The sequence below is a fragment of the Homo sapiens genome, chromosome 1 (assembly GCF_000001405.40).
Source record: "Homo sapiens chromosome 1, GRCh38.p14 Primary Assembly".
NCBI lineage: Eukaryota > Metazoa > Chordata > Mammalia > Primates > Hominidae > Homo > Homo sapiens.
Genome location: NC_000001.11, coordinates 63,762,097 through 63,789,936, shown reverse-complemented (window position 1 = coordinate 63,789,936; position 27,840 = coordinate 63,762,097). Strand labels below are relative to the sequence as shown.

The 27,840-nt window shown below is 43.3% G+C and overlaps 1 protein-coding gene and 1 pseudogene across 2 annotated transcripts in view, besides 6 other annotated features; one reads left to right on the top strand and one right to left on the bottom strand.

The window, feature by feature from the left end:
- ROR1 (receptor tyrosine kinase like orphan receptor 1) overlaps nucleotides 1–15,920 on the bottom strand; it is a 407,482-nt gene extending 391,562 nt beyond the window's left edge. For both annotated transcript variants that reach the window (NM_005012.4, NM_001083592.2), the window contains exon 1: nucleotides 15,429–15,920. In NM_005012.4, the coding sequence (NP_005003.2) occupies nucleotides 15,429–15,519 (91 nt within the window). In that variant the 5' untranslated portion in view covers nucleotides 15,520–15,920. The remainder of the gene's footprint in view (nucleotides 1–15,428) is intronic.
- RPL19P3 (ribosomal protein L19 pseudogene 3) lies at nucleotides 603–1,296 on the top strand (annotated as a pseudogene).
- Nucleotides 8,832–9,387: an enhancer, noted in NCBI's record as "OCT4-NANOG hESC enhancer chr1:64246221-64246776 (GRCh37/hg19 assembly coordinates)". NCBI's record gives its function as "activates a minimal SCP1, AML or CMV promoter by ChIP-STARR-seq in primed H9 embryonic stem cells {active_cell/tissue: H9 hESC(primed)}" and the evidence as "EXISTENCE:reporter gene assay evidence [ECO:0000049][PMID:30033119]".
- Nucleotides 10,365–10,659: a silencer, noted in NCBI's record as "tiled region #321; K562 Repressive non-DNase unmatched - State 23:Low". NCBI's record gives its function as "represses a minimal TATA promoter and a strong SV40 promoter by Sharpr-MPRA in K562 cells {active_cell/tissue: K562}" and the evidence as "EXISTENCE:reporter gene assay evidence [ECO:0000049][PMID:27701403]".
- Nucleotides 14,296–14,859: an enhancer, noted in NCBI's record as "OCT4-NANOG hESC enhancer chr1:64240749-64241312 (GRCh37/hg19 assembly coordinates)". NCBI's record gives its function as "activates a minimal SCP1, AML or CMV promoter by ChIP-STARR-seq in naive H9 embryonic stem cells {active_cell/tissue: H9 hESC(naive)}" and the evidence as "EXISTENCE:reporter gene assay evidence [ECO:0000049][PMID:30033119]".
- Nucleotides 14,296–15,019: a biological region, named in NCBI's record as "Sharpr-MPRA regulatory region 13784".
- Nucleotides 14,725–15,019: a silencer, noted in NCBI's record as "tiled region #13784; K562 Repressive non-DNase unmatched - State 10:DNaseD". NCBI's record gives its function as "represses a minimal TATA promoter and a strong SV40 promoter by Sharpr-MPRA in K562 cells {active_cell/tissue: K562}" and the evidence as "EXISTENCE:reporter gene assay evidence [ECO:0000049][PMID:27701403]".
- Nucleotides 15,804–15,853: a silencer, noted in NCBI's record as "silent region_952". NCBI's record gives its function as "represses an Ori minimal core promoter by ATAC-STARR-seq in GM12878 lymphoblastoid cells {active_cell/tissue: GM12878}" and the evidence as "EXISTENCE:reporter gene assay evidence [ECO:0000049][PMID:35858748]".

Below are 27,840 nucleotides of genomic sequence, written 5' to 3'. Positions count from 1 at the left end.
ACAGAGGGGGTTGTAGACAGCTTGGGAGGGCCTGCCTGAAAGTCATGTCAGTGGATCCTTGCTTTGAAAAATATTTAATGAGTGTCTCTTTGATTTGTGCCAGGCTTAATGTGCTGAACACTGAAGATATGCATGAAAATTAAACACCATTCCTCCTCACCCAGATCTCACAGTGCAGAGGGAGAGACAAACATATAAATAAGTAATCCCAAAAGAGAGTGACAGTGCCTGTTTAAAGACAAAAAAAAAAAAAAAAAAAAAAGGAGAGGAAGGATGGGTGTTTTTTTCCTCCTCCTGATTCAAATGCAAAACCACAATCCACTGTTGTGCCCCCACCCTCCTTCTCCTCCACTCTATTTCTTTAGGTCTTAATTTCCTGGCACCCTGTTACCTGCCAACTTCCTTCTAGATACCATAAGTCTCTTCCTCTGTCCCTCTTTGCCATGTTCACATTGACTTATTTTCACTTCAGAAAAGCTCAAAAGTAATCATTGTCTTAGGCAGTGCCCAGTCCCGACAGCAGGCAGTGCTCAGGTGTCCCCATTCACTGGCTTTGCCCACTCAGAGGCCACTTAATGGGAGGAATCAAGTCAATATTAGATCACTCACCTTTCACTGCTATGGTCACAGCCATGAGTATGCTCAGGCTTCAGAAGAGGCTTGCCTCTAGGGTCCTCCCCTGTGGCAAGAAGAAGGTCTGGTTGGACCCCAATGAAACCAATGAAATCTCCAATGCCAACTCCTGTCAGCAGATCTGGAAGCTGATCAAAGATGGGCTGATGATCCGCAAGCCAATGACTGTCCATTCCCAGGCTCGATGCCAGGAAAACACCTTGGCCTACCGGAAGGGCAGGCACATGGGCATAGGTAAGCGAAAGGGTACAACCAATGCCCGGATGCCAGAGAAGGTCACGTGGATGAGGAGAATGAGGATTCTGTGCTGGCTGCTCAGAAGATACCGCATATCTAAGAAGATTGATCACCTCATGTATCACAGCCTGTACCTGAAGGTTAAGGGGAACGTGTTCAAAAACAAGCGATTCTCATGGAACACATCCACAAGCTGAAGGCAGATAAGGCTCGCATGAAGCTCCTGGCTAACCAGGTTGAGGCCCAGAGGTCTAAGACCAAGGAAGCATGCAAGCGCCATAAAGAGTGCCTCCAGGTCAAGAAGGAGGAAATCATCAAGACCTTGTCCAAGGAGGAAGAGACAAGGAAATAAAAACTTCCACTTTGTCTGTACATACTGGCTTCTGTGATTATATAGATCAGCCATTAAAATAAAACAAGCCTTAAAATATATATATATATATAACATATAATATATATATTAGATCACTCTGTCAAGCCCCACCTCCTTCAGAAAACCCTCCCAGTAATTCCAATCAATGCCGGCCTCTTTCCTTCTTGATCCACAAAACCTACTGCCTGTAACTCCCTGTGGCACTTAATTACATTGAATTTAACAGACAGTCAACACGTTTTAGTGATTTGCACTGGTTTTGACCCTAGAGGAGTTACTTAACATCTCTGAGCCTCAGTTTTCTTTTGGGAATAAAAGCATAACCTCCTTTTATAAATCCACGTGTATAAACACAATCAGAAGTTATCTCTGAATGGTAGGATAATGGGTGAAATTTGTTTTCATTATACATTTCTGAATTTGCTTTTAATGGATATAAATGTTCTCATCAGAAAAAGCAATCAAACTGCTTCCTCTTAGCTTTAAAAAAAGGATAACACCCACTTCATTTTGTTATGAGGATTAGTGAGGTGAGGCTGTGTGCATTGTAGGAACACAATAACCTCATGAAAGCAGCGTCTACTGGCTCAGATAAGGAAACCCCAGGGAGGTGGAAAAGAGATTGGCAGGCTGTCAGACCTCTTCTGCCTCTCAGGAGTGCCTGCTCTGGATATGAAGTCATTCTCTCCTACACACCAGCTTCTTTCCTGGGCTCAGACATGACCAAGGGCATCTCTCAGCTTCCCCATCCCAGAAGGGCTGCCCCTAAATCCCAAGGAAAGACTATGATTAGTTCCTTTTGAAACTGATGAAGGGGCATTTCCCAGAATGAGGGAGTGACAGATGAGGGATTGAAATCAGGGCGATAGGCCGGGTGCAGTGGCTTATGCCTGTAATCCCAACATTTTAGGAGGCCAAGGTGGGTGGATCACTTGAGGCCAGGATTTTGAGACCAGCCTGGCCAACATGGCAAAACCCGTCTCTACTAAATATACAAAAATTAGGCAAGCATGGTGGCAGGTGCCTGTAATTCCAGCTACTCAGGAGGCTGAGGCTGGAGAATTGCTTGAACCTGGGAGGCGGAGGTTGTAGTGAGCTGAGATCGCACCATTGCACTCCAGCTTGGGCAACAAGAGTGAAACTCCATCAAAAAAGAAAAAAAAAAAAAAGAGAAGGAAGGAAAGAAAGGAAGTCAGGAAGGCAGGAAGGCAGGAAGGAAGGAAGGAAGGAAGGAAGGAAGGAAGGAAGGAAGGAAAGAAAGGCAATAGTTCTACAGGGAGAAAATAATATGATTCCACTACAAAATACAAAATGCCTTGCCAGGTGCTGGGTCCACAGTCAATGCTTAATACTTGACAGTGACAATTATTGCAAAGGTGTTGGGCTAAATCAGCATAAGCAGGTGTGATTTAGACGGCCTATGTGAGAATACTGGTGGAAGGTGAGACGACAAAAGAAGGACTGACAGGCTGAAACAGGCCAGGGTGCCTTCCTGGATGTGGATGCAATACAGTTTGAAGAACAAGAATTCAGCAAGAAGAAATGAAAAGAGGAAAGAGTCTGAGCTGGATATGCCAGGGAGGTAGGCCGGTGTGAGGGTAGAAATTCCTGGAGGCTTCAAGATAGGCAAAGGGCCCTAAACCAAGGGCAGGCCACTGACATTTGGATCAATTCATTATTCCCATACCGTTTGGGGTGTATCAGTCTTGCCTCCCTAACAAAAACAGTAAACTTCTTACTGGAGAGGATATTGCCATATTTCTCCTGCATCCCTTTCAGTTGCTAAATCAGTATTTAACCAAACCGAAGCACCAGTGACTTCTTGTTAGTTTACACAGGACGTCTCCCTCGGGCAGGTGGAGCTGCGCCTCTTGGGCCCCTCCTTTCCTTCCCTCCCATCCACCAGCACTCAGATCAATTGCTCTGTGTATTTGATGAGTCTGGGGGAAGCCACTTTCACCCACATCCTGGGATGGCTAAGAAACTTTCTAAACCTAAGCCCTCAGGAAAGATGTGGGAGGATTATTTCTAAAAGGTTTTGACCACCTTATCTACATAGTTTTAACCCCAACACAACCATCAAATCTGACAATTGCTCCTTAAAAAAAAAAAAAAAAAAAAAGGCCAGGCGCGGTGGCTCACGCCTGTAATCCCAGCACTCTGGGAGGCCGAGGCGGGAGGATCACGGGGTCAGGAGATCGAGACCATCCTGGCTAACACGGTGAAACCCCGTCTCTATTAAAAATACAAAAAATTAGCTGGCCGTGGTGGCGGGTGCCTGTAGTCCCAGCTACTGAGGAGGCTGAGGCAGGAGAATGGCGTGAACCCGGGAGGCGGAGCTTGCAGTGAGCAGAGATTGTGCCACTGCACTCCAGCCTGGGCGACAGAGCGAGACTCTGTCTCAAAAAAAAAAAAAAAAAAAAAAAAAAAAAAAAAATCAAGTTGTAGCCAGCGTAAGGGGGGAAATGCTTTATTCCCTGTGCCAGGTGCTTTCTTTCTGGGGAGGAAGACTAATCAGTGTTAAGTCCTGGACTTTCTCTGCACCTTTACTAACTCCTCCTTGCAGAGGCCCGGAGCACAGTCCTAGGCAGCAACTTAGGGATGAGCTGGGTAGCACAGACTGGACATGCTCAGTTCAGCTCCCCCCTTCCTCAGTGGGGAAAAAGGACATTAGTTATCACGTGTCCCCTGGGAGGCCCTGACAGCAGACTCTAACCCACTGAAGACTACCTGGTCACAGGCAAAGTTTTCAATGCTTTGACTTAGGGACACCAGATGTGAGTGGGCAAAGCGCTATGAGCCGCACAGAGAAAAAGAGGTTTAAATCACTGGTGGATTAAGAACATCATCGAAAATTGTTGCTGCGTAGGCCGGGCGCGGTGGCTTACGCCTGTAATCCCAGCACTTTGGGAAGCTGAGCGGGGCAGATCACTTGAGGTCAGGAGTTCAAGACCAGCCTGGCCAACATGGTGAAACCCTGTCTCTACTAAAAATACAAAAATTAGCCGGGCGTGGTGGCAGGCGCCTGTAATCCAAGCTGCTCGGGAGGCTGAGCCAGCAGAATCACTTAAAAAACCCAGGAGGCAGAAGTTGCAGTGAGCTGAGATCGTGCCACTGCACTCCAGCTTGGGCCACAGAGTGAGACTCCGTCTCAAAAAAAAAATTAAATAAATAAATAAATAAATAAATAAATAAAATATATATATATATAGTTGCTGCTTGTTTTCAGTGGTCTACACACCACTGGTCTCCAACAGGCAATATCTTGGGACTGAAAATCCCCATACAACACACAACAGTTCTCTGAAGGGAGGAGATAAAACAGTCATGACTGGGTTAAGCATTACCTCTTTAAGGTAGGCATATGAAAGGCTAATACAGTCCATCACCACAATGGAAGTTCAGGCAGAAAAAAGAAAAACAGCCAATACTCTCCAGGGGGTGTGAAAATTATGTAAAAACTTTGAAACACCCCAGTTGGAGTGAAATCCTAGAAGCAAGGCTATAATCTCTCTTATGGAGAAAAAGTAGAATAAGTTGCTTTCATGTACATTGTCTAAACCCATCCGGAAATGGTGTCAGTTTCCCATGAAGAACAGATAAGAGCCTTTCCAGGGTATCTAGGATTTCAGGCAGCATGTTCTATTTTTACCTTATGATGTTTAACCTTCACAGAGCATAAGAAAGTCCCTGCCCTTGAGAAACAATATAATTATAACCTAAGATTTCCAGGTGCTAAGAAAGTCCGTGTCAGAGATAACTGTATTATAAAATCATGCCTAACAAGGCGCTGAGAACTAGCAATTTTGCCCCATCCCATCCTGTGAAAAATCTTAAAGGAAGAATTGCTGCTCTCCATTCAATTGAGAGATGTAGCTTCGATCACACACCAACAACCAACTATGGCCCAGGCACTGTGCCAAACACTACCCATGGTCCTTCCCCCTCTGTCATGGTAGGCACCATTATGGCTCCCATTTTACACGTGAGGAAAGCCAGTCTCAGAGGTTACGTAGTTTGCTGACCTGGCAGAGCAGTAGTGAGCCTAGTCCATCTGATGCCAAAGTCCTTCTCTTCCTGGCTCCTCTCCCTGCCACAATCACCAACCACTTAGGAAAATCCTGTTTTTAAGTAACTTCTCTGTCTTTTTGCAAGTAAATTTTCCCAGGTTACAGAAATCCCAGAGCCAGGTCCCATCTACAAATGCCTTTCAACTGTTTCTAAAGACAACAGCTATTTGAAGATTTTGTGGATGAAACAAGTGAAAATCAGGCAAATTCACCTTTTGGTGAAACAGTAGTGAAAATAGTCATATATCAGTATATTAGAGGCACAAATTCCAAACAAAAGTAGTCTTTAGAGCAGAAAGTTCAATGGGCCCTAAGTCCAAGGGGCTGGGTTTTAGACAGGCCCTGACAGCTACAGAGTGACCTTGTGTGAGCTGCCAAACTCACCTGCCTACTTTTAAAAGGAAGAGAGAAATAAATCCTATTTAACTGTATTTTTTGGAAAATTAAAGGTAATACTGTACATAAAATGATTTTGTAAGCTGCAAAGCCCTATACAAATGGAGGATTTAATTATAATTATTTTGACTCAGCTATTTGGCTGGGATCTTACAGAGAATTTTAATCATCAGACAGAGTTGAAAAAAAAAACTGCAATGCAGTTTGGCATAATAATGATTAGGAACAAAACTCAGGCCTTAGGATATGCAGGTTCAAATCCTAGTTTTCCCATTTAACTCTCTGTGTGGTCTTGGGCAGGTTACTTACTTCTCTGTGCCTCAGTTTCCTTATCTGGAAAATGGGGATATCGTGGAACACACTGAGCACCCTGCCACATGCATTGTGAGTGTTCAAGGAGTGTTCAGCAGCCGGTGAAAGACCTGGTCAGGATTAATCTGCTTCTAAAGCCCATATACTCTTGCTCTGCTGTGCACCTTTTCAACAGACATGTGGTCGTTGGAAGAGTAAGTAGTTGTGTAGTTACCAAATAGAAGGGAAGACACCAAGACAGTTCGTCTTGTATTTTCTCCCATCTGCCCTTATCCTGGCTTTTAGCCTGGATTCTGCTTTGGGCATGGTGGAGGATTCACACAGGTGTGGAGCTGGAGAGAATCAAGATGCCTAATAGTGAACAATAATGCTCCTAGAACTCTGGCTTACCTCATAGGGTCGTCCTGAAGACTATGCAAGTTAAATCGCTTAAAGAACTTAGAATAGTACTTGGCCCACAGTATGCTCAGTGTGTTAATTATTAGTATACTATTATTCTTTTCATCAAGCAGACAAGAGGGGGAATAGAATTAAGTAGCCTGCACTATAAGAGAAAATGGCTGCATTAGAGACAATAAGACACCATCATATACCTTTGACAAGCAGCCCTGAAATGCACAACATTTTTAACTCCCTGGGACACCCTTTGGGAAGAAAGACAAGTCTTCAGGCTCCCAGTGAAACTGCTTCCTTCTCTCTCCTCCTCCACCCTTCATATGCTAAAAACACAACAGGCTTCATTCAACGCTGTCTTTCTTTTCTTCACTCTCCCATCCCCTGGAGATCAGCTTCATTCCACAGTGAAGGCCTGGTTTAAGAACTCAGGATAGTCTCAGCGAGTCCATGGAGACCCCCAGAGCAGCTGCAGGCTGCTGTGGAACTCCAGCCCTTTTCCAGCAGTGAAATGTCCAACTCCTCTTCCCATCTCCCATCCTTCAATCCCGCACCCTCTCAATCCTTCCTTCAAGGCTCACATCATATCACACTTCCTCCCGAAAGACCCACCCTTCTAGGGATTCTGCATATATAATTGCCAACTCTGTACTCACTGGCTGTATAAAGTGCCTATTTTACTGCCCCTAAAAGGTAAACTCCCCAAGGGTAAAGGCCACCCTTCATTCTTCTAGATTCTCTACAGTGCTAGAGGCACCCTATGTGTGCCATAAATTATTTGGGAAGGGGTTTAATTTACTGGATGGAGCCCCAGGTCTGCATGAAGTGGTCAGACACAAACCAGGTTTCCTATTTTATTCTATCTAAAAATGCTGGTCCTAACCCACTAAATTGATCTCACCACACACTGATTTACAACCTCATGTTAGTTAAGGTAACATTAGCAGCTGTAACAAAAAAAAAAACAAAAAAAAAAAACCTCAAAATCTCAGCCTTAACAATGGACACTTGTTTTTGGTTCACATAAAACCTAAACAAGTGTGGCTTCCACCACACAGTGATTAAGGGAGAGTCTCAGGCTCTTTCCACGTTGTGACACTTTCAACACATGACTTCTAAGGTTGTCAAGCCACCGAAGAAGGATCATACCGATTCTGCCTGGGGAGTTTTTTATGGGTCAAGCCTACAAGCGACAAAAATTACCTCCAATTTCATTTAATTGGCTAGTATTTAGTCACATGGCTTCACTTAACTGTGAGAAAGCTGAGAAATGTTGTCTAGTCATATGACCGGAAGAGATGGAAACATATTTGGTGATCAGCTAGCAATCTCTGCCATAAATCTGTCATTTGAAAAACCCTCCAAGGCAATGATCTAACCTTATTCATCTTTACATCTCCAGTGAGACTATCAGAATATTTGGTTCACTGTAAGTGCATAGAAAATGTATGATCAATGAATGAATGAGGGCAGGTGGTAAATCCTGGCCAGAGTTCTAGGAGCGCTATAGTTCATGATGAGACATCTTGATTCTTTCCAACCCCACATCTATCCAAATCCCCTCCCATACCCAAAGCAGTCCAGTCCTAAAAGCCAGGATTAGGGCAGGTGGTGAATATACCAGAGCAACTGTATTGGTGTCTTCCCTTTCATTTGGTGACTGCACAGTTACTTACTCTTCCAACAATCACATGTCTGTTTAAAAAGTGCACAGGGGAGCAAGAGTACATGGGTTTTAGAGGCAGATAAATCCTGATCAGGCCTCTCACTGGCTACATAACTATAGCAGAACACTCACTGAGCGCTCACTATGCACAGTCTGAGTGTGTTCCATGAATTATTTCATTGACTCTTCACAATAAGCCTATGAAGGAGGCACTCATGTTCTTCCTCTGACCCTCTAATCCCCTGAGAATTAATGTATTCTTCCCCATGTTCCCACAGCATTTTTTCCACAACTCTTTCCTATAATTCACTTGTGGGAGAGATAGTTGCCTGTGGTACCACATCTGCTCATTGGTGTCTCCCCAATCACACTTTAAGGATAACAAAAAGAGCATACATCTGAGAGTCAAAATACCTAGATTCAAATCCCAAATCCCAACTTAATCATTGTACGAATTTGGCTGAGATACTTACCTTCCTGAGCCTCGATTTTCTTATCTGTAAAATAGGATCAGAAGTCCAAACTCCAAGGAGTGCTGAGAAGCATAAATTTAATAGCTTTAAAAAAATGATACCTGGCATATAGCAGGTGCTCAAAAAAGTGAGAATTTTTCTCCTCTCTCCTTGAGGGCAAAGTTAATACTTTATTCCTGGACACGAATACTGTATCTTTCATGTGATAAATATATAATAAATGTTAGTTGAAATACACTGAGTGACAAGCTTCACTGTTGAAAAATAAAATATCAAACCCAACCTCTGCTTTGTCTTTAGAAGTCCTCTTTATCACCCCTCCTGCTTCCCACACGCTTCATTACTCTTCTCTCTTTGGGTAACATGAACTTTTTTTCTTCTACTCAGAAAATTTAAATGGCAAACAGAGCACCTCAGGATCCTTTCCTCCGGCCATTATCCTTCTCTTTCAAGTTGTGCTCAGCAAGATTATTTGGATATTGGAGCTAAAAACGGTCAGATTACAAGTGGAGGTCCCTGAAATGTAACATTCCCCATTGTAGGATTCTGGAATTACACTAAGCACCTGGGAGGGGTTGCTCTTCCCCAAAGAGCTTGCTGTTCTGAAAAAAGCCTTTGTTTTAAGGCATTGCAAAACTGCACTGTGGAATCCCTTCCATCCAGGTCCCCAGCACTGGCCTGGGTACTGCTCAGATCTAGAGCATCTGCATGCTCCCTATAAAACAAAACACTCTGGAGTCCTAAAACCTTGTAAAACTTGCTATTCTCTGAGCCTTGGTTGCTACCTTGCAGCAGGACCATCGTTTTGAAGCCAGATTTTCAAATTTCTTCAGTAAGCCCTTGATAATGATGGTGGCTAACATACTTCACGTTCACTAAGTCCATGGTGCTGTGTTAGGCGCTATAAGTTCATAACATCCTTTTATTCTCACAAAACCCCCCAGTAAGCCACATATTATTGTTATTCCCATTTTACAGATAAGAAAACAGAGGCTCAAAAGTTTAGGTAACTTTGCCCAAGAAGGCAACAAAGCCCCAATTCAAACCCCCATTCCCTATCAGGCTCAAATCCCATTCTATTTCCATTACTCCACGCCACCTCTTTAAGCAGCTATCAAAGGAAGTCCATCCTGTATAGAAATACTTGAAAAAAATAAAGTTTGGACTGTTGATCTTTTTTTTAGTCCCCCTCTCTCTCTTAAAAAAAAAAAAATCTATGGTTCTATGGAGAGAAGCAGGAAAAGGAAATGTAAGGAGGCCAAACATTATGAGGCTTGGCTTATCAGTATTTCATAACAGCTTTTGGATCAAGACTGTACAAAACCTTATTTATGGACAGACAGTTACTGTTAAGCAGAGCCTTTTTATACAACCTTTTCATCTGAGGATGTTGTAGCCTTCTGCTGCCTTTCTATTAGTGAGAGATGAGGTGTGAAATTTGCTGGCCCTGCCAAGATTATCCCATTAAATTATCTGCCCTCTTCCAATGTAATTCACTCAGGGGCAACTGTTTGAGACTCAGGTCCTATGGATGTCCATGCCTGGGTGTTCTGGGGGGTGTGGCTGGGGGCAGGGGATGAAGGAAAAAGTTCAGATGGTGGTAGCATCCCAATCACATAACATTAATCCACGTTTCACTGCCTTACCAAAATAAAGTGGATGCCACAATTATCCCATTCCTAAACAAACTGAAAACCCCAACTGAGCTTACTGCAACAAAGAGAGAGCCTTTTTACTGCTGTTTATTTTTATTTTGTATTCGTTAGCTTTTTAGATATTCCTGGCATGCAAGTCAGTCTCCGTGTAACAAGCAGCTGCATTTAGTTAAGGATTTTCGAAGAGTTGCCCCCATCCCCTCCCCCTTCAACTCCAGAGAACTTTCTCAGACTCTCCTTTCTCTTCCAGTTTCTACCGAACAGTCTCTCCCGTCACACCCCAGGGAATGGGTGAAGCCAGGCTAAGGCCCTTCTGTTTGAGAAAGAGGCCTTGAAGACGTGAGTGTTTCTCAGCTGGAGCTGGATTTGCCAGGGTCTGGTCCTCACTGGGACCTTGAGCTGGCAAGCCAGCTGTCCCACTAGACAGCACTCTAATAAATCCCCGCCTTCTCAGCCTACAACCACAGTTGTCCACCAAGATGCAAATACAAAGTCACTTCATCAAAATATAGCTTATTGATAGTTGGAAAAAACTGGCGAGCACACTTCTCAAACCACATCAAAGTTGAAGCTCATTACAAAAATGTAATTCTTCCAGAACCAGAGATCCAGGCCATCCAACAAGGTGCTTCCAGTCTATCTCTGAGTTTCAGCAAGACCGTCTTAGGGAACTCCAGCACTCGAAGGGAAATTGAAATTGGCTGTCTCCAATAATTTCTTATAACCTCTAGATTACAGCTAAGCAAGCTTCCCTTTGCTGCTGTTGGAAAACCTTGGGAAATACCACCTTTGTTCCATACATTAAAAGAATATAAATTGTAAGAATTAAACAAGGAAAGAATGTCTAGGACAGCCACTAAGGTAAGAGCATGAACTGTTAGGGCTTGTAAGCCCAGTAATGCCACTTTTTAGCAGTGTAACCTAAAGAAAGTAACTTAACCTCTCTGTGCCTAAGTTTACCCATCAGTAAAATGAGCTAATTATGCTATCTCCCTTATAGGGTTGTTGTGAGGATTCAGTGAGTTAATACTTGCAAAAGGCTTAGAAGAGTGATTGGCCCATTGTAAGGATTAGATAAGTGTTTGTTAAATAAACTGTACAAATTGCATCTCAGAATGCTTGGATTCAGAGACATATTTTCTTACTTGAGGTCACAAGGACTTGGCACCATTCTTCAGCTTCTCTCAGGCCCAATTAACAGCCTGCCTGGTGGAAGGGAAACTGGGAGGTGAGAAGTGGGGCCTCCATGGAGTGTGTTAACCTGGGATAAGGCCTAGAACTAGCCACCAACACTCAACTCCTTTCAGCCTCCCCAGGAAGACAACCCATTGCCTCAGGCATCAAACACTCCAAGTCAGCAGTTCCTATCGTTCAGAGGTTGACACTTTTCTTGGAAAATAAGATTATAGCTATAGCTATAAATACAGAACCGTAAAAATGCATATAAAATTGTGTATATTATTTCTGGAAGTTCACATATCCTTAATTTCATGTACCCCAAATTAATTTCACGCACTCACCTCTTGGCTGGGTGCTGTTCTCCAGTACTTTACATGCATGACCTCACTTCAATCTCATAACACTCTTGAAAGGCTCAGGAAAACTGACACACCCACTATACAACAGAGAAAAGATTCAAATCCAGGTCTGTTAAATGCCAAAGCCTGTGCTTGTAACCATTTAGCTTTACTGTCAAGTTCTGCTACACTACACTTCTTTCATACTAGAAGATGGGACAAGAAAAGGAAAAATCCTTGAAAATATGCCATGTTGCATTTTTACTAAGCAAAGCATATATCAGAATTTTGCATACAACCGAAAAAGTTATTCTCCATTCATTCAACAAATATCTATGGACCACTTACTATATATGTGTGTATATACATATGCTATCTGTACATATACATTTACATCAAAGTACATATAGCTTACAAAGTGTTCCATTCTCCATAGGATGCTGTGTAAAATTTTCAGAAATATTTGAAATGGGGTAGATGTTCACCATCAAACCACCAGCCAAACCTGATACTAATTTCAGAGCAAGTGACACTTTCAGAAACTTTCCAAAAGTCTAACTGGGGGCCTATGCTCAAGATACAGAAGAGAAAGGGTGCTATAGGGCAAAGCTGACCCCTCACTAAATATCAGGCAGATTATCCCAGGCATCAGAGAAGCAAAACAGCCTACCATGTATACTGAATCTATATTGGAAATTAAATATTTCCAAAACTGAAGGAGACAATTTGACCACACCCTTTGCCCATCCCACCTTGGTTCGGCTCCCCCTAGCCAGCCAGGGAGGATTTTCAGGCATCTCTAATAAAGTTGGGACTAGTGGACTTGGGCTCTCAGTGTTTTCACCAGAAAAGCTCACAGTCTTATTGCCTTCAAGACACTTCTATTCTAAAAGTACAGACAAATACCTATTTAAATGGCAACGGAAGGTTTACAAAATGATAGCAAACACAGTAGCAAGCCACCTCCCTCTGGCTCCCAGCAGCCAAACCACAGAATCTATAAGATTTTGAGAAAGGCCAGGTAGGTTCCTAAAGCCCTGGGCTTGGGTGCAGTTATAAGGTAAGCTTCAGGTTCCTAAAGAAGTTGAGCTTTGCATAGGGAGGGGGTAGATGAGAAATCAACAATGGACAGACCAGAAAAAATAAATTTAAAGGTTTTCTTCTCCTGGCTAACAAAATAGAAAAATGATGGGAGAAATGTTTTGTATCTTTTTAAATAAATACATGAAACATATCTCCGCTTAAGCTGATTTCCTGAGCCACTGGCTGGGCTACCTTAGGAATCTTGAGTCCAAGAGGAGAAAGTAAACGTGAGTTCTACCAGAAGTCTTGACCCCAGAGAAAAGATCAAACATTCACAAAATGGAAAGGGATTTATAAAACAACAAATAAGACAATAATAACAGATTTGAGCTCATTACTAAAGAGTATGGTGAGAGAAGAGAGACAGACCCTCTCATATTGTTTTATATTGTTTTATACTCAGAAAAGGAAAGAGAAGCGAAATTAAAGGCAGGTAGCCCGGCACCTAGGAACCAGACCTGAAACCAAGGAACCAGACCCGAAACCAGGCCTGGGCCTGCCTGACCTAAGCCTGGTACTTAAAGATCGACCCCTGACATAACTGGTTATGTTATCTATAGATTCCAGACATTGTATGGAAAGACAGTGTAAAAATCCCTATCCTGTTCTGTTTCGTTCTGATTACCAGTGCATGCAGCCCCCAGTCATGTACCCATCATGACCCTCTCACGTGGACCCCCTTAGAGTTGTGAGCCCTTAAAAGGGACAGGAATTGCTCACTGGGTGTCTGAGGAGTTTTGTCTGTGGCTCCTCCTGCTACAATGGAATAGGCAATACCTTTTTTAAACAACTCTAAAAGGCTGTAAACAGTTAAAGGAGACAGAATTGGGGTGGCTGCTGATAAGAAGGGTGTTTACAGTGAGCAAAATCAATGCAGGGACATGTATTTAAAGGTAAGTGACCCCCACCCCCACAAGGGGCTATGATCTAAAAGCAACTATTGTTGAAAGGTGAAGTACAAAGTAAAGGAGTCCACAGGGGAAATAACTGAATTAACCAAAGCCCCAAGCCAGGAGTCCCACCTTAGTTAAAATCACCCTGCTTATCTCCACCTCAATTTGCTGGGCAACCCAACTTGAGAAGGATGTTTACATTACTTAGGCAGCATGGCCCATTTTTACTTTTCACCCAGGTGTTGTGGCGCAAGGCCAGATGTTTGGCATCACCAAGCAAAACATCTATGTGACCAAGCTGTTTACATTTCATTAGGATTTTTCATCAGGAAGGTGCACTCCCTGCTGATGCACATCTTAATTACAATTAGGAGCTCTATTTACCCCCAGGAGCTTTCAGATTAGCACGACCACATTATAGGATCCGTTTCAGAAATCATCCTCAGAAAATGCTACTCTAGCTTCCAAAAACCATCTCTAAGAAATCAAAATTTCACACAACTTCCTTCCAGAGTGTGTTTTCTACCAAGAAAGTCAGCTAACTTTTAGTAAAAACTAATTCTGCATTCGTAGTCTATGTAGTGAATACATCTTTTTCCTCTCAACTGCTAAGTAGCGCAGAACTTTTTCTTTTCCTAAACACAGTGCTAACTTAAAAATGAAAGATGCATGATAAAAGAGCAGAGATCTATTTATCCGCTCAGGTTTAGGGCTGGGAGTGGGGGAGGGCAGAATCCAAAGGCTCCTCACCCCCTCAAGGGATGCATGTTAAAAGTGAGGCCCGAGACCCCGGAGACTTTAATCAACTTTCCCCCTCCAACCTCCAAAGAATGAATCGGTTGTCTCCACAGGCTCAGCCGGGCTCTTCCCTCTCATTGTGTACCGGCTCAGACGCAGCAAGGACCCCAGCTTCCCGCAGCGAACTAAGACGCTCCGGCTTGCGGTGAAGTCTTTCTCTAACTGTTGCGATTGTCTTTAGAGATTACCAAAATCAAATATGCATTAGATGGCTTTTCCCCCTCTTGTTTGTAACACGCACACACACACGCGCGCGCGCGCGCGTGCACACCCAAAGCACTTTGGAGCCGCAGGCCGCCTCTGACAGCACATTTTGCACAAAGTGGCAGCGGCTGCAGCGGCGCACAAGTTTTGGCCTCTATGATGACTCTCGGGAGGGCCGGAGGGCCGGGGGCGGTGGCGATGCGAGGCCGCCGGAGCCCCAGGAGGACAGGGCTTTTGTTTGCGTCGATCCGCGAGCCGCCTGGGCTCTGGCGAGCACCACTGAAAATCCAAACTCCCTCCTGGACCGCGCCTTCCGGGCCGGCTCGCAACTTGGGGGCAGGATAGACTTGCCTGAACACCGGCTGGGGCGCGCTAGAGGTCCAGGGAGACAAGGGGGGACGCCCTGCACAGAAGTGCCCCGATCACCCCCAGGACCCTCAAACCCCTCCACGCTTCCTGTCAGCGCTGACAATCGCTGCTGCGCACCGAGGAACGAGTCCCTGGGCGCGCCCCGGCCCGCCGCGGGGCTCCGGGGCAAACCCTGGCCTGGCGGGGCTCCGGGGCAAACCCTGGCCTGGCGGCGCCGGCGAGCCCCGTGGCGGGTGGCCGGACGCGCCCCGGAGCCAGCGCGGCGCTTCCTGCGTGTCCCGCGCCCGGCTGGACGGCGGAAGGGTGGCCACGGGTCAGGGGGTCTGGGCGGGCGGGGGCCGGCGGGCGCCTCTTACCTTGGGCAGCAGCCCCGCGTGCGGCCAGCAGCAGCGCGGCCAGCAGCGCCAGGAGCGGCGGGCGCGTCCCGCGGCGGCGCGGCCGGTGCATTCCTCCTCTCGCTGAGGCGGCGGCGGCGGCGGCTCCCAGGCCGCGCGCAGAACATCCACGGGCTCTTCCCGGGCTCCCGGCCGCCTCGTCCCGGCCGCTGGCGCTCGCAGGACGCCGGGGACGTCTGCAAAGCTCTTTGTCCCTCTAACCTGCTCCCTCGCCTCCGCCTGGCCGCCTCTGGATGCCGCGAGCGCGATCCCTTCCCAGCCCTCTGGCTGCAGCCTCGCCTGGGCCGGCGGGTCAGTCCCAGGCTGTCCGGGTCGCACCAGTGGGCGTGAGTCGCCCTGGGTCGGACTCCGAGAACAGCGCACCCTGCGCCCAGGGGCTGCCGTCCCGGGGCTCCCTCGGCGGCGGCGGTGGCGGCTGCTCCAGCTCTCCACGCTCCCTCTCTCGCTCAACTTGTCACTTTCCACCAACTCTCCAGCCCAGCGCCCCAGCCCCGACCAATGGGAGACGCGGCCCAGGCTGGCGACCCAGCGCCCTCTGCTGCAGCCTCTCAACGCCCGCACCCTCCCCGACTTCGCAGAAAGCGGTCGCGGCTCCCGCGTCTCGGGCACGCTCCCTCCCCTCCCCTCCCCCACACTCCTCAAACTCGCCACCGAACCGAGCGCCGGGGACCTTCGAGGCTACTTGACAGAAGGGGAAACCGAGGCTCAGAGAGACTTATCCGGGATCTCAAGCCAGTTCGTGGCTGGACGACAGTAGACCCAGGTTCTAGCAGCCTCAGCTGTGTCACTGTTAGCTGTGTGACTCTGGGTAATGGCACATTTATTGCTATCATACAATTTCCCTTTTGCTTTCTTCTTGGACCCAAGAGTTGAGAGAGTTCTTACACAAGTAATTTATACTTCGCCTTTTTGTCTTTAATTTGTAGTCTCACTGAATTCAATGTCATCTGTACTGCCTCCTGGCAAGATTTATTGAGGATTATCTGTGGTTATTTTTGCCAATGTCCCATGGTTTTTTGAAAGGTGTTTTTGTCTTCCGAATGTGAAGATAGAATACTGTATCGATTTATCTTCTTTGTATTCATTATTTTTTCAGGCCTTCTGAATCTTTGCATGTTTGTTTGTTTGTTTGTTTTTTGTCTAGCTGCTCTGCCATGAGCCAAGGGATCATTAAAGACCTCTACAATGAGTGTGTTTTTGTCCATTTCTCCTGGTTTAACTTTATGGATTTTGTAATTCATAAATACCCATAATGATTTGACTTTCCCTGTAGAGACTGCCTTTGATCATAAAAAGTGGTGAGCGCCTGCTGTTTTCAGGGCTGTGCTCTAGGCTCTGAAGATGCAAGGGTAATAGGACACCTGTCAGTCTTGCTCTGGAGGAACAGGAAGAAGCCCATAGTCTCTCAATAATCACGTGGCCACTTACTAAATACCTCCTGTTTGCCTTGTGTTTTATATGCATTTGCTCACAAATCCTCCATTGACACTAAAAAGAGTCATTAAAAGTATATACTTCTTAGCTGTTTTACATATATTATCCCCATATTACAGTTTTAGAAATTGAAACTCAAAGGGAAAGTAAATGACTTGCCCACAGTCTCACAGACATGGGGTAGCCAAGCCAGCACTCAGGCTGTTTCCACTGAGAGAGTTAAAGCCTGTAACCAGAGCCTGGCACATGATAAGCACTCACTCGGGAGTTGTTGCTGTTGCAGTAGCCTCTAAGAACCCAGCTTTAGGGTTTTAAAATGAACAGTCACTTCATGGAGGGCGAGGACTCTGTCTCAATCATCTAGGTATCTTGCTGGCCTCTAACAGTACCTGGAATGCAATAGGAGCTCAATTAATGAACAAAGGTTAGGTCACCATTTGGAAAATATTAATTTCTCATCATATTTGTTTTATAGGGGTGCATGGAGGAGGGACAAAATTTCATCCATACTCCTTGGCACCAGGAAAAGCAGATCCCTGAGAGCTGAGACATTAGAAGGGGGAAAAAATGCAGCCCAAAGTATGTCCCAGCAGGTCATGGACTCCAGACTCCCAGCCCTTTGCCTTCAGGCAGGTGAATGACTAACCCATGCGGGACAAACAGTCACTTATTCTTCTCCAGGACTTCATGGCAGGAGCTGTGTCGGTAGTTTTCCCCCTTTCTATCGCTCTGACCTGAGGTCAAAAAATGATAGACAGAGAGGCCTTGGGTCAACCAGTTCATTACCTACATTGATCTGTCCCCCAAGTTTCTCTGCCTGAGATCTATTCAATCCTGTCCCAATTATCTCGCTTCTTGCCTGAGGAACTTACTGCACAAGGTTCTCTTGTTGGGAAACAGTCTTTGATGGTCAGTCTTAGTATATCACAGCCCAGAAATCAGAGGATACTCAGTTACACTGCACAGTGCTGGGCAGTCCTCTGTTGTCTACAGTCAATACACACAGTTGTCAGACAAGGAGCCTTTCTCATCCACCCACCCTGCCCCCAGCCCCCACCCTATAACTCCTAGGCCCAGGTATCTTAGGTAACAGACAGCTGCTAGTGCTGAGTATACAGAACTTAATGGCACTTTTATCAGTACTTAAACTTCCAGGAACTTAATCACAGAATCATAGACATAAGGAATGTGAGACCTGGAAAGGGCTTTGGAAATTAACTAGTACACCCCCCTCAACATTTTATACAGGAGACATGTGGGACTTAGGAGAGTGAAACCGCCTTGCCCAAAGCTGGCCAGAGCCAAAACTAGGACCTAGACCTACCAGTCCAGACCTGGGTAAGGACCATCATCAAATCATCCCAGATTCCTTCAGTTTAGCTATAGCACACAAGTTTCCAAAGAAAAGGTTAGCAATGGCCTGGCACGGTTGCTCATGCCTGTAATCCCAACACTTTGGGAGGCCAAGGTGGGTGAATTGCTTGAGATCAGGAGTTCGAGACCGTCCTGGCCAACATGGTGAAACTCCATCTCTACAAAAAAATACAAAATATTAGCCAGACGTGGTGACACACCTGTAATCCCTGCTACTCGGGAGGCTGAGGCATGAGAATTACTTGAGCCTGAGAGGCAGAGGTTGCAGTGAGTGGATATAGCGTCACTGCACTCTAGCCTGGGCAACAGAGCAAGACTCCATCTCAAAAAAAAAAAAAAAATGCTGGGGTGGGGGGGTGTTAGAAAAGGCTTTTCCTGTTTAAAAAAGTAAAAGAGGTAAAATATATATAATATGCAAAATATATATATGTGTATATGTATATTTATTTATTTATGCAAGTTCAGTAAATGCCAATGTTTAAGAGCACAGGCTGGGGAGCTGGGCTGCTTGGTCTCAAGCTTCAGCTTCTCTGGTTTCTGCTGAGTGACTATGGACAAATATCTTAGTTGCCTGTACTTTTGTTTCTCACCTGTAAAATGATGATGATAATAATAGCACCTATTTCATGCTGTGGTTAGTGTTAATTGAGTTAACTCTTAGAAAGTGCTTTTATGAGTATCTGGCACAGAGAGACACCTAATAAATGGCAGATATTATCGTTATTATTATTTACTGCATGAACCTACTTATATCATCAAAATAAGGTTGGTCTTAGCCCATTTTTAACAAATGGGCTAAGTGAAGTGAGTTTTTAAAACTTGCCCAGAGTCAAAAAATTAAAGCAAAAAGGCAGGACTCCATCCCAAGTCAAATATCTCTCTACACTATACACCACTGTCTCAAACCCCTGGTGGGCTATGATAAAAGCTCCAAGCAATCTAAATGTTCCTCTCACAAGCCTCTTTTGGCCATGCCCTCTCTTTTAGGAAGCCAGAAGTTGACACAAATGGATAAGAGAACCCAGGTGAAGCTACTCACTTCCCAGGGGCCTGGCACAACCTGAGGTACTGGCTGAGGCTCCTGCTACTTACAGAGGCACTCATCTCCCCTGGCCTCTTGCACTGGCACACACGGTTCTGTTTATTATCACTGTAAGGCATAGTGGGAAAATGGAACAAGAGCAGGGCAATAGTAAATCATTGGGGTCAGGTGCCAAGGGGAGCATTAAATAGAAAACTATCTTTCATTTCAAAAACTTGCTGGTGGGAGAGACTCATTTGGGCCATCCGCTTGATTTACCCAACAAATACAACCATTAATTATTCTTGGAGAAACGGTGTAGTGTGATGCTTACCAGGAAGAGTTCAGGAGCCAGACTGCATGGATTCAAATCCTGCTCTGCTCTTAATAGTTGTGAGTACTGGGTCCCTGTATTTTAGTTTCTTCATCTGTAAAGAGGCATAATAATAATACCTACCTGTAGCTTTGTTCTGAAGATTAAATTAGTTAATACCTGTAAAGAATTTAACATAGTACCAGTTACACAGTAAGCAGCCAATATTTATTAGCTACTATTGTTAGTGATTAAGAGAATGGACTCGGGCTGGGCGTAGTGGCTCACGCCTGTAATCCCAGCACTTTGGGAGGCCGAAGCAGGCGGATCACGAGGTCAGGAGTTCGAGACCTGCCTGACCAACATAGTGAAACCCCATCTCTACTAAAAACAAAAAAATAGAAAAATTAGCCAGGCATGGTGGTGTGTGCCTGTAATCCCAGCTACTTAGGAGGCTGAGGCAGGAGAATGGTGTAAACCCAGGAGGAAGAGCTTGCAGTAGGCCGAGATTGCACCACTGCACTCCAGCCTGGGCGACAGAGCGAGACTCCATCTCAAAAAAAAAAAGAGAGAGAGAATGGACTCTAACATCAAACGGAGCTGGCTAGATGACCTGAACAAGTTGTTTAATTTCTTTATGATACAACATTCTCACCTGCTAAAAGGAGAGAGAGACAGATAATAGAACCAATCATATAAAGTCATTTTTAGTATAAAATAATGTACTTTATACTTTGAATACAAAAGTCACAAAACAGTGTTTGGGGAGCTGGGCATGGTGACTTGTGCCTATAATCCCAGCTACTAGGGAGACTAAGGTGAGAGGATCTCTTGAGCCTAGGAGTTTGAGACCAGCCTGGGCAATATAGCAAGACCCTCATCTCTGTAGAAATATATATTTTTTTAAAAAAAGTGTTTAGCATGTTACTTACTCAAAAAATTGTTATTATTATTGTTTTTTCTCTAAACTATATTATGAGATAGGAGAGAAGCATAAATTTGGTGATCATACAACCTGAATTTCTAGCACAATCTTGATTTCATATATTTTGTTCCATTAGCCTCTTAGGTCTATTTGTACATGAGTAGAAAAGAAGACTAAAAATAATATGTGTAGTGTCATCAGAAATTCATAAGTAAGAAACTTAAGAATAAGGGATTGTTAGTGAAGCTATTACAAGACGTTATAGACTATAATACTTCAGAAAGCATTGGAGAAAATCTTAGAAAATCTTGGATTTGGAAAAGATTTTTGACATCACAAAAACCATGAAGTATAAAAGAAAAATTTGATAAGGCCAGGCACAGTGGCTCATGCCTATAATCCCAGCACTTTGGGAGGCCGAGGTGGGCAGATTGCTTGAGCTCAAGAGTTTGAGACCAGCCTGGGCAACATGCCGAAACCCTATCTCTACAAAAACACACAAAAAGTAGCTGGGTGTGGTGGTGGGCACCTGTAGTTCCAGCTACTCAAAAGGCTGAGATGGGAGAATCACTTGAGCCCAGGAGGTAGAGGTTGCAGTGAGCCAAGATGGTGTCAGACAGAGTGAGACAAAGAAGGAGGGAAGAAAGGAAGGAAAGAAGGAAGGAAGGAAGGAAGGAAGGAAGGAAGGAAGGAAGGAAGACTTGATAAACTGGACTTATTCAAAATTAAAATCTTTTGCTTTTCAAAAGACATTGTTTGAGAACACATGGATACAGGGAGGGGAACATCATATACCGGGGCCCATTGGAGGTTGGGGGAAAGGGGAGGGAGAGCATTAGGACAAATACCTAATGCATGCGGGGCTTAAAACCTAGATGGCAGGTTGATAGGTGCCGCAAACCACCATGGCACATGTATACCTATGTAACAACCCTGCACGTCCAGCACATGTATCCCAGAACTTAAATTAAAAAAAAAAAAAAACATGAAATTGCTATACAAATAAAAAGGTAAGCCACAGACTAGGGGAAAATATTTTAAAGACTTATGTCTGACTAAGAACTTACATCTGCAACATACAAAGAACTCTTAACCACTCAATGATAGGAAGACTAAAAACCTGACTTTTAAAAATGGGCAATATAATTGAAGTGACACCACCAATGAAGATATATGGATGGCAAAAAATATACATTTAAAGATGCTCAACAACATTAATGATCAGGGAAATGCAAATTAAAACCATAATCAGAAACTACTATATACCTAATACAGTGACTAAAATTAAAGAGATAACCCATATCAAGTTTTGGCCAGGATGTGGAGCAACTGGATCTTTCATATATTGCTAATGAGGATATAAAATGGTATAGACACTTTGGGAAACAGTTTTGCAGTTAAAAGCTAAATCTATATCTACTATATAATCCAGCCATTCCACTCCTAGGTATTAACCCAAGGGAAATGAAAGCATATGTCCACACAAAGACTTACACATGAAAATACACAGTAGTTACATGTGTAATGGCCCAAAAATTGGAAACAACCCAAATGTTCATCAACAAGTGAGTGGAAAAACTCTGGTATAGACATATAATAAAACTCAGCAAACACAATAAATAAATTATAATGTATGTAATAGTGTAGTTGAATAACAAAATAATTATGCTGAGTGAAAGAAGTTAGAGTTTTAAAAGAATATATACTACACGATTTCATTTATATAAAATTCTAGAAAATGCAAACTAATCTACTGTGACCAAACAATAGGTCATTGTTTACCTGGGGTCAAAGAAATGGAAGGATGAATGACAGATGGGCATAGAGACATTCATTTATGGGGGTGATGGATTTGTTCATTATCTTGATTGTGATGATGTTTCACAGGTATATACCTGTGTCAAAATTTACTGTAGTAATCTGGGTCCAATCAGGAGATAGAAACCACACAGTAGATAAAGCAGAAGTTTAACAGAAAGAAAGAAATATTAACTATGATATAAAGAATAATCATACAATATAAAGCAACTATCTATGGTACCCTAAGGGAGATTCCTTAAAGAATTACACACTTGGAAAGGGTTCAGACCTCATTGGAGAAGGCATGGTCAACCACTGGACAGTAAGGGAGTTTGCCGATATCGCCAGAGTAAGGCAAATGATAGGTCACCCTCAGGAGAAATGCAAAGGGAATTTCCTAAATTTCTAGCTGGGGAGCAGCAACTAATGGCATGGGCATGCAGTGAAAGTCTGGTGTGGGCAGGAGGCCTTCAAAACATGTGGGCAATGTGGAGCTTGCAAAGAAGCAGCAGCTTCTGTGTGTACTCTTCCCACCCTGTGGCTGCAGGTGGGCTCTAGGGACTTACAGAAGAAGCAGCTTCTCAGTGTGTGACCCCCTCAACCACTGATGACTGCATGCAAGCCACACTCAGGCTCTGGTTTTCTTTCTTTCTTTTTATTTTTTTCTGTGAGACAGGGTCTCTCTCTGTTGCCCAGGCTGGAGTGCGATGGCGCGATATAGGCTTACTGCAACCTCTGCCTCCTGGGTTCAAGTGATTCTCTTGCCTCAGCCTCCCAAGTAGCTGGGATTACAGGCACACAATTAGCCACCACACCTGGCTAATTTTTTGTATTTTTAGTCGAGATGAGGTTTCACCATGTTGGCCAGGCTGGTTTCCAGCTCCTGACCTCAGGTGATCTGCCCGCCTGGGCCTCCCAAAGTGCTGGGATTGCAGGCGTGAGCCACTGTGCCTGGCGAGGCTCTGGTTTTCATGTCAAGAAGGCTGTGAGAAATATTATCACCAGGCCAAGGCTAGAAGATTGCAGAGAAAGTGGGTTCTGGGCCTGAGGCTGAGGCAGCCTCCATCAAATGTTCTCACACCCACACCACTTGGCCCATGCTGGAAACTGCAAGAAGGCTTTTCCTCTTGCAATATCCCTCCAGAGCCCTCTATTTTAAAAGCTCACTTTAAAGGAGAAATGCTTAAAGAAATTCCATTGTTTATCATAAAGCATATATTAAAGGGTGAACTTGGAGCTGAGAATAATATCTATCTTCAAAACGAGCAGTGTAGCATCTTCAACTCTCTCTGCTTCCATCTTCACAATGCCTTCTCTCTTACAAGGACTCTTCAAATTACATAGGACCCACTTGGATAATCCAGGATAATATCACCATCACAAGATTTTTACCTTAATCACATCTGCAAAGTCTCTTTTGCTGTATAAGACAGCATACTAACAAGTTTCAAGGATTCAGATATGGAGATCTCAGCCTACCATACACCCTTTCTAAAGACACTAACAGAGGATAAACTAGCTACTCAAGAAAGCAACACTTTCCCCCACCAAAAAAAAAAAAAACAAAAAAAAAAAACATGAAATCTAGGAAAAAGATAAGTGAAGGAAATTCCCAAAGTGATAAGAAGGAAGGGAGGTTCCAGGAAGAAACCAAAATAACAAATTAGAGAAAATTAGCCAAGATTGGAACAGGTCTAAGGCTCTGGGAGAGAAGTCACCATTGAATAGACTACTAGATGGATTTAGGCCTGAAAGAGACTTTCACTTTTGAGGAAGAGTTTTGGAATGAAGTAGTAATGAGCATATAGATATCACTAAACAAACACAAATATAAGACAATTATTAGTTCCATGGAATACAAGAAGTTATACAAAAAAGACAAATGTAAACATAGTATATTACATGGCTTAGCTGTCGATAGAGATTGCATAGACATACTATTATAAACACTGAATCTAACCAAAATTATGATCTAATTATAATGGGAGCACAGAAGGATGGGAAGTGTATGGTGGTGGTGGTGGTGGTGGTGGTTGTAAAAGAGAGGTCATATTTTATAGTGGAAAGTCAATAGGTAATACCTGCCACTGAAATATTAAGATGTAGCTATATGTTATTTAAGGTCATGAAGCTAAATATTGAAAGCATTGAAATCACGAAATAGATGTGGAAAAGCGGACTGGATTATGGGAGACACTGGCATCACTGAGAAGCTCAGTAGTGGCTCTCCTCTGTAGGCCAGGCCAGAGCTTAAGGTAGGAAATGCTGTTATGAAACTGGGATTGCTAATAGTAATAAGGATGATAATATCCCAAAATAAAGGCCAGGTGAAAGCAGCATGGACACAATCAATGTGATGAGCAGTGAGATTGGAGAGGCCACCAGGGTAGCCTGGAGATATTAATAGAACACAGCATTCCTAGGGGCAAGATATATGGATGTGTAGGCAGCCAACAAGGGCATTGTTCAAACCATTTGGCTAAAAGAAATCAAGGAGGTGGAAGACAGCTTCCCTAGTAAAATATCACGGTAGTTTATCGGTTCTAGGCCAGGACCAGTTTTCTGACCCAGAATACACTGAGTAAATGAAAGGTCAGACGCTCAGAAGAAGTTCCCTATGACACAGCGAGTGCATTAAAGAAAAAGCTCTTCCACAGAACCAAGCCATGGTATGAGTTGTTGTCCAACTTGTTGCTGCTTTGGCCCATTTAAGCCAGGAACCCCTTTGTTATTGGAGGGTGTCTGCAGTGGGGAAAGATGTTATATGAAATTAATGGCAACCATCAATCAGAGAATCACAGGATAGATCTCTAAAGGTTCTGTGTGGTCATGCCATGTGTAGCAAAGAATTACTGTCCAAAAAACAGCATCCCCTTGCTGATGATTGGGGTAATTACTCTTGCAAGGATGGTAATTCCTTTATTCAGTGATGGGTCTCTTGGCATGAGGAATCTAAGTAACTGGATGGACTGCAGGTATAGCTTTCAAATTTGATGGGGTCTTGTTGTGAGCTTCGTGGAAGGGTTCTTTCAATGGGAGCAGAGTCCAAGGTTATTGGGAGGGGAAGTACAGGTTCTATGTGCAGCATTCAAGAGATCATACAGATGAAATATAAAGACATAGGCTGAAAGCAAAAGCATAAAAAAAGATGTACCATACAAACAGTAATCATTTAAAAAACTATCATAGCTCTAATATCATCAGAGAGAACAGTACATTACATGTATCACATCATCACTATGTACTCCATAAATTGTACAACTATTATGTGTCAACTTAGAATTTTTAAAATAAAATTAAAAAGAGACACTGTTAAAAACACAAAAAGAAAGAAGACAAAGAGTTAAAAATCAATTCATTAAGATCACATAAAAATCCTAAATTTTCGTGTGTTTATATGTATGTTCCTAAAAATAGAGCTTAAAAAGCAAAAATTGACAAAAGGGAGAATAGAAAATGAACAATCACAGTTGGAGACTTGAGTACTTTTCTCTCAGTAAATGATAGAGCAAGAATATAGAAAATCAGTAAGTATGTAAGCGATGGGAACACTATCAATTAACTTGATTTAGTAGATGTTTATGAAACGCTACATCCAACAGCTAAAGAACACACATTCTTTTCAAGCACTCACATAACATTCATCAAGATAGACCATCTGCTAAGCCATACAATGTCTCAGTAAATTTCAAAAGATTGAAATCATAGACTATATTCTCTGGCCACAAGTCAAGTAAATTAGAAATCAATAGCAAAAAGATATGTAGAAAATCCATCTACATTTAAAAATTAATCGACATTTTTAATAACTCTGGAACCAGAGAATAATTCACAAGAAAAATTAGAAAATATGTAAACTAAATGATAAGGAAATCATAGCCTATTGAAATTTGAGAGATGCAGCTAAAGCGGTATGAAGGGGAAAATTCATGATTTTAAATATTTATATTAGAAAACAAGAAAGAGCTAAAATCATGATTTAAGTATCCATATTAGCAAGTTTAAAAAGGAAGGGCAAAGCAAATCCAAAATAAGCAGAAGAAAGTAATGAGGATAAGAAGAAAATTTAATGAAATAGAAAACAAGTAAATAATAAACAAAAATCAACAAAGATGAAAGTTTGTTCTTTGAAAATATTAATACAATCGGGAAACTCCTAGTGATATCAAAGAAAATAAGAGGAGAAAAAAACCTACAAATTACCAACATAGGGCATGAGAGAGAGAGACTATAACCACAGGGTCTACAGACAATAGAGGACAACAAGGGACTATTATGAATAACTTTATGCCAACACATAAAGTTGTAGATGAAATGGACAAATTCCTTGAAAAACACAACTCACCACAATGGATAGATAGAAGAATAAATAAAAGACATAAATAGCTATGTACCTATAAAAGACAATTGAAATCTTAATTTAAAACATTTTCACAAGGAAAATCCCTAGCCCAGATGACTTTACAAGTGAATTCTATCAAGTATTTTAGGAAGAAATAATTCCAACATTGGGCAAACTCTTTCACAAAAGAGAGGAGGGAACAATTCCTAATTCATTGTATAAGCTTCTATGTCCCAAACACCAAAACATTATGATAAAAGACGTTTCAAGAAAAGAAAATCACCCAATGATGACTGCAAAATAGCACTTGAAAAAGAATCCAGCACCCATTTATATATTTTAAAATAGTTCCCATAAAACTAGAAATACAAGAGAACCTCTGAAAAATCTGATAAAAGGGGTCAAGCACAGTGGCTCATGCCTGTAATCCCAGCACTGTGGGAGGCTGAGGCAGGCAGATCACTTCAGGCCAGGAGTTTGAGACTAGCCTGGTCAACATGGTGAAACCCTGTCTCTACTAAAAATACAAAAATTAGCCAGGCGTGGTGGTGCACACCTGTAATCCCAACTACTTGGGAGGCTGAGGCACAAGAATTGCTTGAACCCAGGAGGTGGAGATCGCAGTGAGCCGAGATCACGCACTGCCCTCCAGCCTGTGTGACAGAGAGAGGCTGCCTTAAAAAAAAAAAATGGCTTCTAAGGAAAACCTAGAGTTAACATCATAATTGATGGTGAAATATTAAAAATGGTCCACATAATGTAAGGGACAAGGCAAAGGATGTAAACTTTCACCATTTATATTTAATATCACACTGGAGGTATTCGCCATGTCATGCATGTGTTGCATAAGGCAAGAAAGAGAAATAAAAGGCAAAAATATTGAGAAAGTAGTAAAATTCTATTTTTTTTTTTGTAGGTAATGATAGTGGACGCAGAAAATTCAAAAGAATCAACACAACAACATTTTGGGGTTTTGGTGTTGTGTGTGTGTGTGTGTGTGTGTGTGTGTGTGTGTGTGTGTTCTTTTTGAGACAGGGTTTCGCTGTGTCACACAGGGTGGAGTACAGTGGTGTGACCACAGCTCACTGCAGCTCAAACTCCTGGGCTCAAGGGATTCTCCCACCTCAGCCTCCCAAGTAGCTGAGACTCCAGGCACGGGCCACA